Source organism: Homo sapiens, chromosome 16, assembly GCF_000001405.40.
Source record: "Homo sapiens chromosome 16, GRCh38.p14 Primary Assembly".
NCBI classification, from domain to species: Eukaryota; Metazoa; Chordata; class Mammalia; order Primates; family Hominidae; genus Homo; species Homo sapiens.
In genome coordinates this window covers 6,851,323-6,871,359 of record NC_000016.10, presented here as the reverse complement: position 1 = coordinate 6,871,359, position 20,037 = coordinate 6,851,323, and the positions used below count along the sequence as shown (strand labels likewise).

Sequence of the window (20,037 nt, the reverse complement as noted above, 5' to 3'; positions counted from 1 at the left end):
ACAAAAATTAGCCAGGCGTGATGGCACATGCCTGTAATCCCAGCTACTCAGGAAGTTGATGCAGGAAAATCACTTTAACCCAGGAGGGGGAGGTTAGAGTGAGCCGAGATCATGCCAATGCACTCCAGCCTGGGGGACAGAGCAACACTCCATCTCCAAAAAAAGCAGGGGTGATTTTCTGAAACATGGAATTAAACTTCAGTTGGTTTATTCAAAAACAAAAGAAAGGAACCTTCATCAAATTCCATCCTAAAGAATGTAAGAAGAAAGATAAGTCATCTTGTCCATTCCTAAGACTCTGCCTACTTTATACGCATTTATGACTTCATTTGCTTTCCAATATTTAATGAGCATCTGTTATTCACTGGATAGTGGGCTTCATCCACTTACATCCAGGTCTACAGGAATATGGACACTTACGGATAGAAATGGAAAAAGTCTGATTTTTTATTCTCTTTATAAATGAGTTTTAATTCAAGTCTCTCAAAGTTAGGGCCTTTTATTAGTGACTGTAAATCTCAGAGCGACAAGAAGTCATAAGAATCTGAAATTGCCTCATAAATTAGTTGCTAGTAGTGAAACAGTTGTTTAGTTTGTTGAGGGGCTGGGGTGGGGAGGAGTTTTGGTGGTGAAATAATTATTCAACATTACTGAACCAAATAATTAAACTGTGCTGTAAAATTATGGTTATGGTAATATTCCCATCATCGTTTGTTTTGTTTCTGCTCATCTACATTATGATTTGTTATTGCTTTGCAAAGCTACAATGTAACAGTCAAACCTGAAATTAAAACCAGCCTGCAAAAGTTATACAAGGTGATCCAGTATGTTCCACTAGCAATTATTCATGGCAAATAATATCATGAAGCTCTTAAATCCTTGTTGTGAAGCTAGCCAGACGTGTGTCAACTAAAACCTTAGATATTTATAGGTATCAGAAGTGAGGTAAGACTTGCTGAAACAATCCAAATGCAAATGAGATATGTGAAAATCCAATAGGAGCATCTTGGAATATCAGATTTCTGTTTCCTAGCAGTGCTGAATTTCAGTAGTGCTGACAAACAAAAAGGCACGGATTTTTTCAAGCGACCAAAGGGAATGCTCTCTCCATTGCCCCACCCCAGGCTGCTAACTCTCTTGGCTCTGCCTGCAAAATTCTAGATGAAATAAGGTTTTCGGGCCAAACCCTAAACTCATTCATCACCATCCTGTGAAAACTAGGTGGTCCAAGAGCCTTATGCAAAAAATCATCATTATTATCATCATCCAAAAAGAAGGATTAGTAAATTGTCAGTTTAACAATTTTTAAACTCGTAGGGCCAGCTGAGAGATAGATATGCATAGATCTCACAGCATCAACGTAGAAAATGTTACCTTTGATCCCTTATTTTATAGGTCCTAAGATTAGTAAGCAGTCCCCAAGACGCTGAGATGATATAAGTAATTTATGGCTTTGAATTGCTTTTACTGCGGGGAGACATATACGTTCTGAACAGATTCCCCTTCATTCCTGATTCCCGTGAAGCAGTCAGCTCATGTGTCTTCAAAACCAACCAGAATTAAGTAATTGGAAATTCCACATCAAGCTGATGCTGTTTAGAATTTTACCCATTTCCAATCAGTCAACACGGTTCTCTAGAGTCACATGGCTTTGCCAACTGCATGAATGTGTGTCCTAGAATTTGTTTTGAGAAGGGTAAAAATCCTAGTTCTAACACGTCAGAGTTGAAAACAGATTCCAATTATATTTTTCCTGTTCTTTCTTTCTCTATTTCATCCTACTCTGCACAGAAATTAATGTTAATCTCCTTTTATGAACAAAAAGGATTCATAAAACCCTTTTATATGTGTTGAAAAACTCAGGGCATTTACATTAAAAAAAAAAAACCTCAAAAGACAGTAAGGGAACTCCTTCCTAATACAAGACAGATACCACAGTGGTTAATAACAGAATTTGGAGCTTGAAAGACCCATGTTTGACTCTTTCTCTACCTACAACTATGGGATTTGTGAACAGTGACCCTCTGAGCCCATTTCTTCATCTGGCAGTGGCAAGATATAATAAGTATTTACTTGATAAGGTTCTTATGAGAAACATATTGACACCAAGCACTTTGCACATATAGGTGGTCAGCAAGTGTTGCTGATAATGGCAAGTGGGGGAAGGAAGAGATGAGCGTGCAAAGCAGCAGAAGATATGACAGGTAAGCAAGAGGCAAGATGCATAAGCCAGTATGGGCAACACAATGCTGCTGTAATAAACAGCCCCTGAAGTTAGTGGCTTATAGCAATGGAAGTTTATTTCTCATTCGTACCATGTGCTCAATACAGGTTGGCTGGAACTTTTGTTTTTTGTAGTCACTCAGGGACATGAGCTGACAGACGGTTTCTCTCACCTCATGTATCCAAAATCTCTAAGGCAAGGGCTAGAAAATGTGGTAACTCACAAAATGTCACTTCAAGCATCCACCTATGAGAAAGTCACATCACCTCCCTGCATATTTCATTAGTCAAAGTAAGTCATATGGCAAAGCCCATCTTTCGAGGAGCAAAAAGATGCAACCTTATTACCTATCTTTAAGAAATACTGGCCGGGTGCAATGGCTCATGCCTATAATCTCAGCACTTTCAGAGGCCAAAGCAAGTGGGTCACCTGAGATCAGAAGTTCTGACCAGCCTGGCCAACATGGTGAAACCCTATCTCTAGGAAAAATACAAAAATTAGCTGGGCGTGGTGGTGTGTGCCTATAATCCCAGCTACTCAGGACGCTAAAGCAGGAGAATTGCTTGAACCCAGGAAGCAGAGGTTGCAGTGAGCCGTTATCATACTACCGCACTCCAGCCTGGGTGACAGAGTGAGACTGTCTCAAAAAAAAATCATAAACCAATAAATATGAAACACTGGCTTGAATGTGACTTTCCTACCTCGCCCTGGCAACTTTACCAATTTGAACACTAACCCAAAAGAAAACTTACAGAAATTTCTCTAGATCCATAATCCCTTTATAGACACTTATCATAGATGAATCCACTCTGTTTTACCATCCTCTTACTTCAGCAAACCACTTTCTGTGTCCATCTTCTTATAAGCCACTTCCTGTGTCCACTGCTGCAGACCACGAAGTATTTCTGTTTCTATAAATTAAATGACTTGGAGGCTGTAACATGTAGCACTGAAAGACTTCAATGAAAAAAAATATAGGAATAATTATTTGCTAATTTCAAATGAGTATTTACTATTTATCAGGTACTTTGATCAAAATTTCACATATTAATTTTCTCAACACCCATACGGCAAAAACATTACTATAATACCTATATTTCGCAAATAAGTTAACTGAAGTATAGTAGTTTCAGCTTCTCAGAAAAAATCAAGTACAGAAATCAAAATTCAACTGCCAATTTGTCTGAGCCATAGTTCTGGACGCTTGGCTTCTATATTTGATTACTCTCTTGTTTAAGAGTATGGAATGACTATATAATACATCGTTGAAACTGGGACACCTGTCAGCAGAAAGGGGGATGTCAATAATTACACCAGGATCAAGGGATAAACAGGACTTGTTCTGAGCAAACCTAAAGGTAATGATGCCATGGGTAATTCACACATTAACTGATAAATATCTGTTGGATCCCTTTCTTTTTGTCCTTCTGAGACAGAGTCTTGTGCTCTGTCACCCAGGCAATCTCGGCACTCACTGCAACCTCTGCCTCCCGGGTTCAAGCGATCCTGCTGCCTGAGCCTCCCAAGTAGCTGGGATTACAGGCCGGTACCACCACGCCTGGCTAATTTTTGTATTTTTAGTAGAGATGAGGTTTTGCCATGTTGGCCAGGCTGATCTCGAACTCCTGACCTCAAGTGATCCGCCTGTCTCGGCCCCCCAAAGTGCTGGAATTACATGAGTGAGCCCCCACACCCGGCCCCCTTTCTTCCCTTAATCCTCATTAGTTTCTCAGATGAACAAAAATTCTGGTTTATAAAGGTCATTAAAAAGAATCACTACCCCAAGAGAGGTTATTCCTTGTACAAAACCATCATCAGAGCCAATAATGATCCAGAATATGGATGGATCTCTCCTCCATCCATGCTCATCAGAAAGGAAAAAAAAGGAAGAAAAAAAGTATTTTTTTTTCCCCTACAGAAAGACTTATATAGCTTCATGCTTTTCTTTGCAAGACCAAGAAGAAAACTCACAAAACTTCTGCACTTAGTACATCTCCAAGCTAAAACCTGACTGCTTTATCAGAAATTCCCACTGGAAGTGTTCTTGCTGGTTAGAATGAAATTTTTAAATACAAACTCATAATAATAGCAAGACATGGAAGTTTTTTTTTTTTTTTTTAAAGAACAGCTAACACAGACTCTGACTAGAGGGTTTTCTGTATGCTTAAAACAGTATGACCTTTAGATATTGTCATGAAGCTAAGGACCCATAAGGGCTGGTTTCCTTATCTTGATGCTTTGTGTGGCAAGTAATACACATGCAAAAGTTACAACCTTAGAAAACCCTAACCTTTAGCTGGGCGCGGTGGCTCCTGCCTGTAATCCCAGCAGTTTGGGAGGCCAAGGCAGGCAGATCACGAGGTCAGGAGATCGAGACCATCCTGGCTAACACGGTGAAACCCCTTCTCTACTAAAAATACAAAAAAATCAGCCAGGCGTGGTGGCAGGCGCCTGTAGTCCCAGCTACTCGGAAGGCTGAGGCAGGAGAATGGCGTGAACCGGGGAGGCGGAGCTTGCAGTGAGCCGAGATCGCACCACTGCACTCCAGCCTGGGGGACAGAGCGAGACTCCAACTCAAAAAAAAAAAAAAAAAATAGAAGGAAAGAAAGCCCTAACCTTATTTTTTTTTTTAAAAAAAGTCCTTTGTGAAACACACTTTTTGCATTATATATTTTTTGCTTAACATGAAGATGCAGATGGGAAAGACACTAGAAGTCATGGAGATGATGGATAAGGTTTGATTTTTTTTCTTCTTTATTAGACCCATCAACAGAGTTCCATTATTACACTGTAAGAAGTGATCTATTTCCTTGTTTCATCATAGCTTGAAACTTAAAGCCCATCAGCCACCCTATCCACAAAAATGAAAAGTGGTAGGAAAGTAGTTTACATTTCCAGAACCTTAAAAAATGATGAGAAGACACTGAAGTAATAAAGAACTACCAGAGATAAGGTGAGCAAAGCTGTTTTATAATATAAAGAAAAATGCATATTAGATAGAAAAAGAGCTGGGGAAAGAAAAGGAGAGGGGAATTATTTTCCATAAAAATATCATCTTTTGGCTTCTATTTCAATCCTGATTTACTCTTTTCTTTCCAGATGCATTCAAAGATGTGCTAGCCAATATTACTCCCTCTTTTTTCCCCGATTGTTTTTTTCAATGCATTTCTTATGTGATTTAGACATTACTGTGCAAGAACCAAATGAGGTGGCTTTTTCATGTAATGTTTCAACACTAAGTTACTTAGAAGGCAAAAGACTTGTCAGGAAGAAATAAGCCTACACGCAAAAAAGAGAGAAGTTAATTGTACCTGAAAATTCTCCGTGTGCAACTGTTATCTAATACTGCTTACAAATAAAGCAGGAAAAAATAACAACAAATAAACCTATTTGTGAAAGGTGATAAAATAGCAAATGAGAGGCAAAATGAGAAGGTAAAATGAACTTATTAACTAAAGGAATTAGGGATTACTACGTTGTCATCACACGTCATGAAGAATACATCTCAGTCCATAGTATCTTATTAAATTAAAAAATAATGTATCACAAAATATTATCTACAATTAATACAAATTGTATTTCTACCACCTGATACAATTCCTGCAGCATAGTAGCAAGTCATTAACCATGTGTTAAATAAATGTTAAAAAACAAGAAGGTGCCTGGGTGTGTGGGGCTAGAAAGGAAATATCCCCATGGCACACACTAATGATAAACACTGGTAAAATTAGAAATGATTTTTCTTCTTTGTGTTTTTCTGCATTTTTCATGTTATCTACAATGAACACATATTATTCAAGTAATTATTATAAGTACTTAAAAAACCCACTCCAGGTCGGGCACGGTGGCTCACGTCTGTAATCCCAGTACTGTGGGAGGCCAAGGCGGGTGGATCACCTGAGGTCAGGAGTTCGAGACCAGCCTGGCCAACATGGCAAAACCCCATCTCTACTAAAAGTACAAAAATTACCCAGGAGTGGTGGTGGGCACCTGTAATCCCAGCTACTTGGGAGGCTAAGGGTGGAGAATTGCTTGAACCCAGGAGGCGGAGGTTGCAGTGAGCCAAGATCGCGCCACTGCACTCCAGCCTGGGTGACAAGAGCAAAATTCGATCTCAAAAAAAAAAAAAAAAAAAAAAAAGAAAAAGAAAAACCCACTCCAACATTGGCACTGGGATTGAGGAACAGGGCTTATTTTTGACCTTTGTGTTTTCGATTTATCAGCAAAAAGAGAAACCAAAAACGCCCCTCTTGTTTTGATGAGTATCCATTCACATGACCTCAGATAAAAAAAGGGAAATGGCCTCAACAAAATACCCAAGTAGCATATGTCTCTCCTTATTGTTTTTAAACCCACATTAGAGGAAAAAGACACTTAAAAATACAGGTTGAACAGAGCAACATCTTCTAGGAAGCAACTTTTTCTTCAGGATTCCATGCATTATTGAAAGGCTTTAAAAGCCAGTTTGGAATTTTCCATCAAGAACAAATAAAACATTTGAATCAGATCCTTGATTCTCAAATATCCTGCCGTTGACACATCCAGCCTGTTTTGATGTATTAGGCCATGATTAAAAAAAAAAAAAAAAGAGGAAGGAGAGAATAGGGGGGTTTAAAACTAAATTTTTAATTAACGTTTTTATGTGTTAATTTGAGATTATGTCATTTATACTTTTTCGGGCATGATGATGTCATTTCTTTTCTGAATTGTTGGTGATTTCACAAAATTTCTGTGCCTGCAAAAGTAAAACAAATAGCCTTCCTTTATTGCAGTCTGAAATTATTATTGTTTTTCAAATGTTTGTCTTGAAATAACTGGATAGGATAAGGAAAGAATGAAGTGTGTTCTCTAATTTCTTATTTTTGAACGTGTCTAAATGTGGAAGAGTTATGCTTTGAGAAGAACCCTAGGAATACAGTGACATAGAAGAAAAAAGTGAATTATTTATGTAATGGGACAAGAATTATTAAAATAATTTCCCTGAAATGACCCCTCCTTCTTCCTGCTAAAGAGACTCCTTCGCTTTCTTCTTTGTCACTTTTATTTTTTCTGCTACTCTCCCTGTAGTCTGAAGAAGGTTCAGCTTTTGCTAGGCAGGTTAATTAGAGGTTTTGCAAGGCATAATCTCAACAAAAAAAAAAAAAAAGGAACATAAAGACAGAAGAAGTTGTGAGGATTTTGCAAGAGAAGGAAGAAGGAGGGAGCACAAAGTGTGAAGGAAACAAATGGCAATGGATTGGTAACTGTTTAATAAACATTCAAAATACCAGTAAAGAACTTGGTATTTGTTTCTGGTTACCTGATTTGGCTCCTTTCATAGCACATCCTCCTGAGACTGTATCACAAGGTTTATTACCTCTGTAAGGTTGTATTTGGTTTTGGTAAAAAAAAAAAAAAAAAAAAAAAAAAAGCGCAGGCATCCAATTTGTGCTTCCGGTCATTTCTTTTTTTCTTTTTTTTTTTTTAAGGAAAAAAAAAAACAGAACCTTGGTATTTTGATGCCATTCTCTCTCCCTCCTTCTGACAAAGAAGATAAAAATGGCGTCCAGGAACAGATCACATCTTTAATGTTATTTACATTTATCTATGTAACCAGAAAATAATTGTAATTAGTATTAAAACACAGTTCCTGCTATGTGTTCTACTTGTACAGGCAACATAATGAATTCAGAGGTAGCAGAAGGCAAAACTTGCTTAGTTCCTTCCATTATGGGCCTTTTCTAAATTTTAGTAAGGAGCTTTGAATCTTTAGCCATACATTCTTGAAGATTAGTGAGTCACCACCCTCCTGGTGAGCCACGTTTTGTCTCTACCCATTCATCTTGACCATTTGCTGCTAATCACTTTTCCCAGTCTGCATCCAGAAGATACTTCGTCTCCAACCTTGAGGGTCTTGCCTTTAGGTTGGAATGTTTTGTGCCATGTCCTTCTCTATTCCAAAAAGTAATTCAGGCAAGCCCTCCTGTTTTTTCACCTAGACTTTTGATCCCCTGCTTATTAATTTCTCTTCATCCACTCTCCCACCAATAATCTGTAAAAATCCTTCCACTGTTCTCCACCATACATCATAGAATAATGTACCAAACACCTTAGAAGGACTCTGCAAATTCCTTCAAAAATCAGCTGCGGCCTGTCTTCCTTTTTTTTTTTTTAGACAGAGTCTCCCTCTGTCGCCCAGGCTGGAGTGCAGTGCCGTGATCTCAGCTCACTGCAACCTCTGCCTCCTGGGTTCAAGTGATTCTCCTGCCTCAACCTCCTGAGTAGCTGGGATTACAGGTGCCGGCCACCATGACTGGCTAATTTTTGTATTTTTAGTAGAGACGAGGTTTCACCATTTTGGCCAGGCTGATCTTCAACTCCTGACCTCAGGTGATCCACCAGCCTCGGCCTTACAAAGCGCCGGGATTACAGGTGTGAGCCACAGACAATTCTTAAACAGCATCTGTGATGATTCCAATTCTACCTCCAGCTCTGTTCATACAAAACCACTTTCATTTTCCATTTGTGTCCTGTACTTCATTCATGTCACTTCCTCTGCCTGTAACATGAACTCTCTTTTCTTCCTGGAAATCTCTTCACTCTTCAAGATGCTGGTTAAGTATCACCTCCATTCTGCTGGTTGCCTGGGCAAGGCAGAGCTGTTTGCTCCTTTTCCTAGGTAACTGTAATATTGCTAATAACTCTGCCATTGCATCCCCATAGCACCGAATGAAAGGATTTTTATTTGACTCTCTTCCTCCATTTCATTGAACCTGCTCTGGGGCCTTGGTGTTCAAAATGTGCTTCCAGGAACCTGCACGATCAGCATCGCCTGTGAGCTTGTTCACAAGGCAAACAGTCTCCACTCCAGACCTACAGAATTAAAATCTCTGGAGGTGGCCTAGGACTCTGGGTTTCTTATGTGCAATAACTCTCTAGAGTAAGGGTCAGTACTTATTTATGTCCCTAAACATGACACACACAGCAAGCCCTTCACAATCTAAATGAAAAACTCTTTTGTTGTTATTGTTGCTGAAGCATCCTTTCCAAGTATCCCTCACAGCCCAATGACATCTTCTCATCGAAATCAGTTTTGCTGTGATTTTTCCTGACAGTATTGACTGGAGCTTATCGAGTTTGTCTTACACACTCCACAGTCTGTATCACAGCTTTTCTTTGATTCAAGCCTCCCATTGCATATTCCAAACCAGTTCTGTTTGCAGACCCCCTGCCAGTGCCAGAGAGAGCTCTTGTTAATGTTAACGACATTTCTGGGCAGGGAGAAAGTGCAAGCTAGACCAAAAAAAAAACCAAAAAAAAAAAAAAAAAAAAACCAAGGGACGCTGGCTAGGAAAGAGGGGGAGTGTATGAACGTGGAAACACTTTGGCCAAATACTTATTATCAATAGGGTTTTCAAATAGCTGTAAATCCTGAAGACTTCCGGGCCTTCCAAAACGAATTTGACCTCATTATACACAGTGAAAAATAGAGGAGGTTGCATGCCAAGTCTGTAATATTGCAACATAAAGACCCAATGTAGAGGCTGTTTACTGGAACAACTTAGTACTTTCATATGAAATGAGAGCCTAAGATGCTAACACTGAACGTGCCCAGTTAAAGGAACATTGAGAGTTGAAGCAATTATTCTTGTAATTGAGTCGGGGGGGGAGGGGGTTGGGAGGGGAATCATTCCTTTTGGAAAAGAGAGTCAGGCCTTGCAATTAGCAGTTTACATTGATCAAAGACATTAGGGAACTGCTTGACTGGTCCATCTTTTGTCTTGTAGATTGAGGGTACTGCATCTCTTTACTCATCTGCCCTTAACAATCTTACCAAGACAATGCACTCGAAAGGGACCTTGTTTTTGTATAAAACCCTTTTGCAAAGACTATGGTTAGAGTGTGGTGCTCAAAAAACTCAGCATGCAAATACACACAGACACAGCGGTAACTGTAGCTGTTCAGATGCACTCTTTTTTCTTATGCAATACATGAGACATATAAAAAATACGGAAGATGCTGGAGCAAATGCCGTATGTCCACCCCGCAGCTTGCAACATAAAATATAACAAATATAATGGAATCCTTGTCAGTCACTCTCGCAGATTACAACCGCTCCCCTACTCCCTAACAGTGGTGGGCATACTGCTGAACTTACTGTGTATCATTCCCACATAGCTCTATCTCGTTTTACCATATATGCATAGACCCCAAGAGAATATATATTTTTGGGCACATTCATATATAAATACATATAAATGTATATTTTGGAATATCTATTTTTGAATACATTTATATATTTTTGAAAACATTTTACTGTGTCCAAAAACTGTACATAAATGATGTCATACTGTATGTCTCCTGCTGCAAATTACTTTTTGTTGTTGTTCAACATTATGGTTTTCAGATTTATCCACACTGGCACACAGAGATCTAATTTATTTATTTTAACATGACACACCAGACATGACTTTTGCTACAATTTATCTTCTATTTCCCTATTGGTGGACAATTAATGTCTGGTTGATTGTTGTCTTCCTAATGTTTTGCTTGGATGCCACAATGAATCTTCTATGTGTCTCCTTCATGTGTGCATTTAGGGATGAAATATCTCAAAACTACATGCATCTTGAATGTCCCATGATGTTACTAAAGTGAGCGCCAAAGCAGGTGCATCAATATACTCTTCCATCAGCAGCACGGTAGAGCGCCCGCTGCCCCCGCGTCTTAGCCAACGTGTAGTGTTTTGTAAGACTTGCAGATTTGAAGAGTTTGAAATAACAAATGCTTTCCAAGATGCTTCCCAAATATTACCACCCCCAGCCAAAAACACTTGACTCCATCAGAACTGAGAACATTTAGTCATCAGACATTAAATAATGTATTTCCACAAGTACCATTAAGTGCCTAACATTGTGTCTGGAACATAACGGGCATTCAATATATATTGTTGAATGAATTCATTTCCGCTATTGCAGATGACTCAGAAAATGAAGCAAGAAAAACATATGCCAGGAAAGCAGTGAACAGCTAGCGCACAGCTATTCATTGGAAGAGGAAAAATAGTACACAATTCCAAATGCTCTCTCTTCACTTACCTCGGTATTATAGCTCGTTCCATCAGGTACCCTTGTGGTGTTAACTCCTACACTTTACAGTCAATGAGCAAAAACCAATTCCACTCCTCAAATTCTTCTCACTTACTATTCAGCTGTCTCAATTCATTAATTTGCTTAATCAGCCCTCATCAATAACACTTCTCTCCAATGCATTCCTCTAACTCAAAGGAAAAGCAAGCTCTGAATACTCAAAAGTGTGATTCTATAAAGAAACAAGAATGGCAGAAAAAATATACTTGTATCAATGCCTTTTGGAGCCTTAGCAGTAACTTCATATTAACATGTCTGCTATTGTCAAAGATCAAGGGTGAAAGACATTTCTCATTTTGCTGATACCGTAGTCGATTAAAAAATTTGAATTAAATGGTTCCATTATTGAGTATCTCACAAACACAGTTCCATGGAGGTTATCGACACAGAGAGGCGGCAGGAAGATCTCTGAAGCATTTTCTACAAAGTGTGGCTCATCTAAATTCAGATTTCCACAGGCAGCATAAAAACCACTCACATTTGGGAAATTTGCAGGTCCATGGGCATTAGGGCAGTAGACTTGAACAAGAGTGAGCAACTGTTCTTCTGCTTATCAAGTTCTCTGATGAACAGAGAGCTGACAAGTAAAATCAATTATGATATTAGAGCCAAGTATGGGCAAAAGCGTCATCTGTTTGAGGAGAACAGAGAATTTTGCATAGAATTTTTGACTCTTTCTTATAAAAATATAATAGATATTATCAACGAATGAGATGGGAACAAATAATATTCAAGAGGAGTCATTTTTATAAAGAGTCAGAATCATGTTCTTATTGGATTGAGGAACTAATTTTTGTATATATATATATACATATATATATACATATATATACATATATATACGTATATATATACATATATATATACGTATATATATGTATATATATATATATATACACTTTTTTTAGGACAATACAACACTGATGGTATTAAGGGAGCATAACTTAATTCCTCCTTCCAGCCTCAGTCCTGGCACTTATACATAAACAGGTACACATCCCTGTGACCTGGTCAGCTAAGCTAAAATGTGTACATGTGTTTTTACCTACCTTTGATTGACAGTGAAAATAATATCTTCCTTTAGAAATGCAGAACTTACTGACCACATGATACTGTAGTTATAGCTGAGCTTCAGAAATAGCTACGAGTCTGAGTTTTGCATGTTGAATTGAAGATTATACTTCTAACCAGCAGAGGCGAATGCCACTGCTCTAATTTCTGGGTTTTCTAAAACTTTCAACTAAGAATAAAGATGTGTTTTTGGTATACACTGTTCCATAAAGAGGCTGAGCTGAACACTCATATTCTGATATGTAATTCCATAAAATTATTGTTTCTATTTTTTAGTAGAGATTAGTGATATGTCTCATATAAACTAAATGAAATCGTCTGAGTCTCACATAAAGAGAATGAAATCATTCTCAGAAAACTCTGCTATTTTAATTGAGCTGTAACCGTACGATTCTAAGTAAAACAAGCAAGCGTGATACAAAAGCAGCTTCAAGGAGTATGTTCTACCTCTGCCCGGAAACCAAAGTGCTATGCCTAAGTCCTTCCCATAACGAGATTGTGGAACTCCTTCAAGTCCACAATTAAAGAAGAAAGAACAACACAAAACCAACAAGGAGAGGAAAGTATCACGAATCTGCTCTGCTTTTTCCTGTATTTTAGATGAAAATCCTAAGCTAGATATCCTAATCTAGTCTCTCAACACAGAGAGGGAAGACCTCTGAAACATTCCCTACAAAGTGTAGTTCATCATTTGAGATAAATCTCAAAACCATTCAACCTTCGTTTACCAACAACACTTTGAAAAGGACACTTATGAGTGAGCTATTTCTTCCTTCAAATATTAAATTACAGTCACGTTAATAACTGTATTTTAATAACTGTATTTAATAACTCCAATTTCTAGTTAGAGAAACATCAATGAAAAACTTTAAGCAAGGCCATTCTTGGGATGAACATTTGTGAGTAGAAGAGAAAAGCCTTGCCTTTTCCATATGCTGGTTTAGAATCTCCCTCTCAACTTCATCTGACCTACGAAAAACCAGTATTGTCTTGATGCTTAAAAATAAAATAAAGTAAATGCAATGACTTCTGTGGGATAGGCTCATTAGCTCAGGATTTGACAGGTTGCTAAATGGTAACTGAGCATGAAGAGCTACAAACACACTATAATTAATTACCAAAACAGGCACTGCTTGGGCTAAAGCTGGGGCAAGAAAGTGCTGACAGAACAAAATTCGCATTCCACTGCTCTCCCTGCCTCTCCCAATTTACAGGAGAATGGGAAATCATGAACAACTGATACACTCCGTTAGCTGCTATCACAGAGAGTAAGTTTCCATGTAGCCTTAGGGGCATCTTACACAGTTTAACACTGAAAATAAAACATAATGTTCTTGGCAAAGAGCTACGGCGATTAAATTTGGGAGGCTTGAAGCAGCCTTGAATTGTAGTCAATAAAAAAAGGACCAAATAGTAATTTTGAAATTTAACTGTGCTGGTTATGCCCAATGAGTCAGACCCTTGTGAAATAAACCATGTAAATAGAAAAATGGCTTAACTCTTTCAGCTGGCGTACATGGGATTTGACCTCTCCCATGCTTCGTAGGATGGAGACCTCTGATTCACTAAGAATAACGTGAGCACTTAGATGCTACCCATACATCTTTTTAAATAGTTCTTCAGTAAAGGTGTTGACTTCTTCTTTGGGATTCTTCCTAATAAGTTTGCGATTTATTTAGAGATTGGGGAGTTATCAATATTGTGTAATATGATTTATATATCAGCGTAGAGAGAGCCAAAGTCCCAAATCAGCAGGAACCTGAAAGTCTTTTTAAAATCACAAAATTCTTGACCACACAAAAAATCACTCTACAGAGATTTGTGTCAGGGTTTTTGAAGCAATCACTTCACAACAAATAAGAAAGACAACCAGCCAGCAATGATGTGGGGTTGAACACGATTTGCAGTAAGCCATTGAAAAACTCCAAAGCATGTCTAATATTTATCTCAAGTCCTCCTTCTCTTTGTCCCTCCCTTTCTTCTCATGTCCCTCCGTTCGTTTTCTTTCCTTCTCTTTCTCTTTCTTTCTTTTCCCTTTCTCTGTCTCTAACATTTTGCAGCAGAATTATTATTATCTGAATTGACAATTAAGGGATCTGTCAATCAGTGGTTTGACAATCGCAATGCTTAAAATGCCAACTGTTACACACATCTCCTTAGTGCTTGAGTGGCGGTTTTTGACAAATGGATCATCATTATTGCCTCATGGTAGTTTGTGATTGAGATAACCACTTTACTTATTAAATGGAATTTGTAACATCTTGAAGAATACAGGAATATATAAATATTCCTGCACAAGAGGTGGTTTATCACTGTCTTCTCATCTTTAATGAATTCCACGGTGGCCTGAAGGGACAGAATATCACCTGATGGGAAACACTCTTTGATGAACATTCATGAGGGAGCATTTTCCTTTCTTACCAATTTGATATTTCTAGAGGGCAATGATAACCTTTATATCCTGGGTTTAAAGGTCAGTGGCTCAGGTGGTCCTGCTGTCTCCTGAGTGGGATCAGGATTGCTCACCTAAATCCTAGCCTCAAACAGGGACTCCAAGGAGACATAGTCTACTCATCATCCTAGTTACTCAGAATTCAGACGTGGCTTCAAAACAATATGAATTGGGAATAGAACTCCTACATCATCATACTCAACAATAAAACACCTACTAAAAAGATCTGAGCAGATGGAGGCTGCCTTGATGATTCAGATGTTTCTCGTGGCTGGCACAGTATCTGGTTCTCAATACACATTTGAAGAAGGGAAGGAAAGGAAGCAAGGAAGGTAAAGGGAAGGGAAGGTAAAGGGAAGGGAAGGAAAGGGAAGAAAGGGAAGGGAAGGGAAGGGTCTTCATTTCATCTTCACTGAGGTCCATTAACCCAGAGAGACATATACCATGAGCACCATTCCCTAGTTAGAGAATATAAGGGAAGATGGAGGATCAATAGGCCTGTATTAGGCAGGAGTCTTTGGGTACAAATGACAGAGCCCATGAAGTGAATATGTGCATGAGTAAAGAAAGAAGGAAAGAAGGGAGGTAAGGAGGGAGACAAGGAGGGAAGAAAGCAGGGAAGAAAGGAAGGGAGGGAAAGAGGGAGGGAAGGAGGGAGGGAAGGAGGAAGGAAGGGAAGAAGGAAATTTATCACTCAAATCCTCTAAAGGTAGAGGATAAAACTTCCAAGGGCTGCGCAATTAAATGAATCCAATAAATCTAGGAAGTGCAATCAAGGTTTCGATCGCTGAGATAACTCTCCAGAGTTAAAAGATCTTTTTTTTTTTTTTTTGAGATGGAGTCTCACTCTGTTGCCCAGGCTGGAGTGAAGTGGTGCGATCCAGGCTCACTGCAAGCTCCACCTCTCGGGTTCACGCCATTCTCCTGCCTCAGCCTCCCCAGTAGCTGGGACTACAGGCACCTGCCATCGCCCCCAGCTAATTTTTTCTGTATTTTTAGTAGAGACGGGGTTTCACTGTGTTAGCCAGGATGGTCTCGATCTCCTGACCTCATGATCCGCCCGCCTCACCCTCCCAAAGTGCTGGGATTACAGGCGTGAGCCACTGCGCCCGGCCAAGATCTCTTCTTATTTCTGTTTTGTGTGACTACCTGCTGAAAATTTTGCTTGCTTTTTCTTGGCTATCTCAGACCTGTATACTAGAATGCTGACTGCCCTCCTTCCCCCTCTCCCTCCCTCCCTTCCTCATGCATATGTTCACTGCATGCTTATCATTTTGCCAGGTACTATATTGGGTACTGGGGATATCATGCTCACCAGAACACGTATAGCTACACACTCACGGAATTTACAGTATAGTGCTGGAATCTGTCAACTCCCTACATAGCATCCTTCTCTTCTGTTGGGATCATCACTCTCTCCTCTCAGGACCTACTCCTCCCACCCACCTCCCAACAGTGAAACATTGTCCTTAGGTGGCACTGACTCCTTTGCCACCAAAGATTAGTCCAAGCATTAACAAGGGATTCTAATCTCGGTGATCAAAGTTCTCCTCTGTCATATAGAAACCAGAATAAAAAAATTATTCACCTCGGCTGGGCGCGGTGGCTCACGCCTGTAATCCCAGCACTTTGGGAGGCCGAGGCAGGCGGATCACGAGGTCAGGAGATGCAGACCATCCTGGCTAACATGGTGAAACCCCGTCTCTACTAAAAATACAAAAAATTAGCCGGGCGCAATGGCAGGCGCCTGTAGTTCCAGCTACTCGGGAGGCTGACGCAGGAGAACGACTTGAACCCAGGAGGCGGAGCTTGCAGTGAGCCCAGATAGCGCCACTGCACTCCAGCCTGGGCAAAACAGCGAGACTCAGTCTCAAAAAAAAAAAAAAAAAAAAAAAAATTCACCTCTCCTAGTTGGCAGGGAGGTAATGCGTGAGGTTCAGAAGATGTCGTTGGCCAGGCAAAACAGGTAACCTGAGAGAAAGTCCCAACTTCGCTAAACTTCCTATTTCTGGCAGCCCTCAAGGTGTAACATGCCATTGAATTTCCATCAATTTAGCTTCCCAGATCATCCTATATTTATATAAAATATTCCTTAGATAAGCTTTTTAATAATTAACCCCTTAAGCCCTTTCCTCTTCATAGGTTCCATAATTTGTACCCAAAGACTCCTTCCTAATACAGTCATATTGATCCTCCATCTTTCCTTACATTCTCTAACTAGGAAATGGTGCTAATGGTATATGTCCCTCCGTGTTAATGGAACTCAGTGAAGATGAATGCAAGCTCTGTCTAAACCCCAGAAACCGTTATTGAAACTAATAAACGTCAGACACTCATATTTTGAGTTGCTTTTACAATACAGAGCAATGGAGTTTTGTAAAAGAAAACATTATCACACTCAGCTTTAAATAAATAGGATTTCTGGAAGGAACAAAGACTTAACTGCCTGAGGTCTGTCCTTCCTTCTACCTTTCTTTCTTTCTGGCCTGCAGACTAATAGCTCATTACGGAGATGACTGTCTGAAAAAATAAAAGTTACCTAGACATGCAGGCTACTACCCAGGAAGAGCTAATTATTTGCATAAATCATATAGATCCTGGCCCTGGCTATATTAACCATTTACCATACTCATCATTTGTCACCACACTGTAATGTCAGTCATCCGTTGGGGAGGAAATTACCCCTCGGTGGTTTCTTCAAGTGAGGTCAGAGTGCAGCTCCTCTCCACGCACAGTGAGGCGCATTATCCCAATCACATTGTCTACTGGTAAACGAATCCAACCAGGGTGATAAATTGCTACAGGTTCACAAATTAGCCTCCATACAGGCTGAGAGCATTTACTATGGGCCATGCAAATTAATCCCATCAAACTGCTTCATACAGTACAAGGAGGTAGGAATCCGTTTGCTAACCTCCCTCAATCACTCATAACCCAAATTCTGAAAGCATCTACCACTGTCAGAGTCCCAAGCAGACAGGGATTGTCCTCGAGCACCACACTGTAGGCACCATCCTCCATCAGGATGATTTGCCTTTTAAACCAGGAAGCCCAATGGCTGGGGGCAGGCACTATCAGTAACTCTGCGAACTAAAATTCAACGTTATGCAGCCAACCCTTAGGGTATGCTACAATGCACAGAGGTATGCCACCACCACTACCACCACCATCCTCATAGAAACAATATCAAAAACAAGAATATAATAATTACAGCCAACATTTATATGGCACTTACTACAAACCTTATACATACTATCATTAATGCTCACAAAAGCCCTAAGGGTAAACACCAGTATTAGTCTCCTTTTACAAAGGAGGAAACTCAGGCTCAGAGAAGTTAAGCAGCTTTCCCAAGTTCGCACAATCATTAGGTAGTATATATGGAGGGAGGGATAGAACTGTGTGAAGGGTAACACCAGAGGCTGTCTCTGGGTTGCCTGGCAATAAGCCAGCTGGGACCAGCTGTTCCAATTCTGCCAGTGAGATTGTCCATCCATAGGGTGCTGGGCTCACATGGTCTCTTGATGTCATCAACACAGTCCCAGCATCCTCCTTGCATGGACAGCTAGTTCCCAGCATGCACCTTGTGTGGACAGCTAGTTCCCAGCATGCACCTCACCTGGACAGCAGTTCCCAGCATGCACCTCACCTGGAAAGCAGTTTCCAGTATGCATCTCACCTGGACAGCTAGTTCCCAGCATGTACCTCTCCCAGACAGCTAGTTCCCAGCATGCATCTCACCTAGACAGCTAGTTCCCAGCCCACGCCTCGCTGGCACAGCTATTTCCTGGCATGCACCTCACCTAGGCAAGCACCTTACCTGGACAGCTAGTTCCCAGCATGTACCTCTCCCAGACAGCTAGTTCCCAGCATGCATCTCATCTGGACAGCTAGTTTCCAACATGCACCTTTCCTGGACAGCTAGTTGCCACCATGTATCTCGCCAAAGTTAATTTCTGAGACACAAGGAATTGTTCCCTACTTGTAAGACTGTTCTCACACTTACCCTAATAAGCCAGATAATAGCCACTCAGATATCTCAGGTCAAAAATCCCTGAAACTTATAAACTTTGTAAGGAAATAGTTTCCTTGCTGATGTGACTGAACTGATGCTCACAAAATGGGTGATCAACCTGGATTATCCAGAGGGCCCTACACGCAACCTCAAGCATCCTTAAAAGAAAGACGCAGAGGCACACACAGAACGGAAGACAGCAAGAACACAGAGGCAGAGACTGCAGTCATGTAGCCACTACAAGCTAGAAGAATAGACTCCAGAGAAAGCAGAGCCCTATCAAAACCTTGGTTGCAGGCCAGTGACACTGATTTCAGACATCAGATCACCAAAACTGTTAGATAATAAATTTATATCATTTTAAGCCACCACATCTGTGGTAGTTACGTGGTGGCAGGTGCCTGTAGTCTCAGCTACTCAAGAGACTGAGTCAGGAGAATGGCATGAACCCGGGAGATGGAGCTTGCAGTGAGCCGAGATCACACCACTGGACTCCAGCCTGGGCGACGAACCTCCATCTCAAAAAAAGAAAAAAAAAAAAAACCCAATGGAAACTAATACACCGTACTCTCCAACCCCCCAAAAAATACAGCTAAAGGATAGTGGTGTCCCTGTTCTAGAATGCAAGCACACAGGGCATCATCCATGTCTGCGCCTTGATGCCCAGAGGAAGGAGTTAAGGGTCCGGGTGCCACCTGCCAGTCCTTCTGCCTGTGAGTTCCAGTCTTTATCAAATCATGCTCTGAATTTGCCAAAGTCCTTTGCCTGGCATTGAAATTGTTATCTCACCCATGTCTTCTCGACCCTAGAGCCTTGTTCTTTCCCTGACAACAGGAGGCTTGAGAGGAGGCATGTAAAGATAATTAAGACAAGATCTCTTAGGGGAAAGCTCTTACAATTTGGCAGAGGAGAACACAAATATTTAAATAAAAATTTAATATGTAAAATATGTTGTGAATATCTTTCAAACTCTAAGTTGTTATATGAAGGAATTTTAAAAATTAAACTTTTTGAGATAACTGTAGATTCACATGTAATTTAATAAGTAATATACAGAGAGCCCATGACCTCTACTCTTATTGCTCCAGGGGTAACATCTGACAAAACTATAAATATCACAGCCAGGACAAAAAATAGTCCACAGACA

General features: G+C 40.1%; 1 protein-coding gene across 29 annotated transcripts in view, besides 2 other annotated features; it reads right to left on the bottom strand.

Moving 5' to 3' along the window:
- RBFOX1 (RNA binding fox-1 homolog 1) overlaps positions 1-20,037 on the bottom strand; it is a 2,473,620-nt gene that overhangs the window by 841,981 nt on the left and 1,611,602 nt on the right. The window lies entirely within an intron of this gene.
- Positions 7,709-8,292: an enhancer, noted in NCBI's record as "OCT4-NANOG hESC enhancer chr16:6913069-6913652 (GRCh37/hg19 assembly coordinates)". NCBI's record gives its function as "activates a minimal SCP1, AML or CMV promoter by ChIP-STARR-seq in naive H9 embryonic stem cells {active_cell/tissue: H9 hESC(naive)}" and the evidence as "EXISTENCE:reporter gene assay evidence [ECO:0000049][PMID:30033119]".
- Positions 9,547-10,363: an enhancer, noted in NCBI's record as "OCT4-NANOG hESC enhancer chr16:6910998-6911814 (GRCh37/hg19 assembly coordinates)". NCBI's record gives its function as "activates a minimal SCP1, AML or CMV promoter by ChIP-STARR-seq in naive and primed H9 embryonic stem cells {active_cell/tissue: H9 hESC(naive and primed)}" and the evidence as "EXISTENCE:reporter gene assay evidence [ECO:0000049][PMID:30033119]".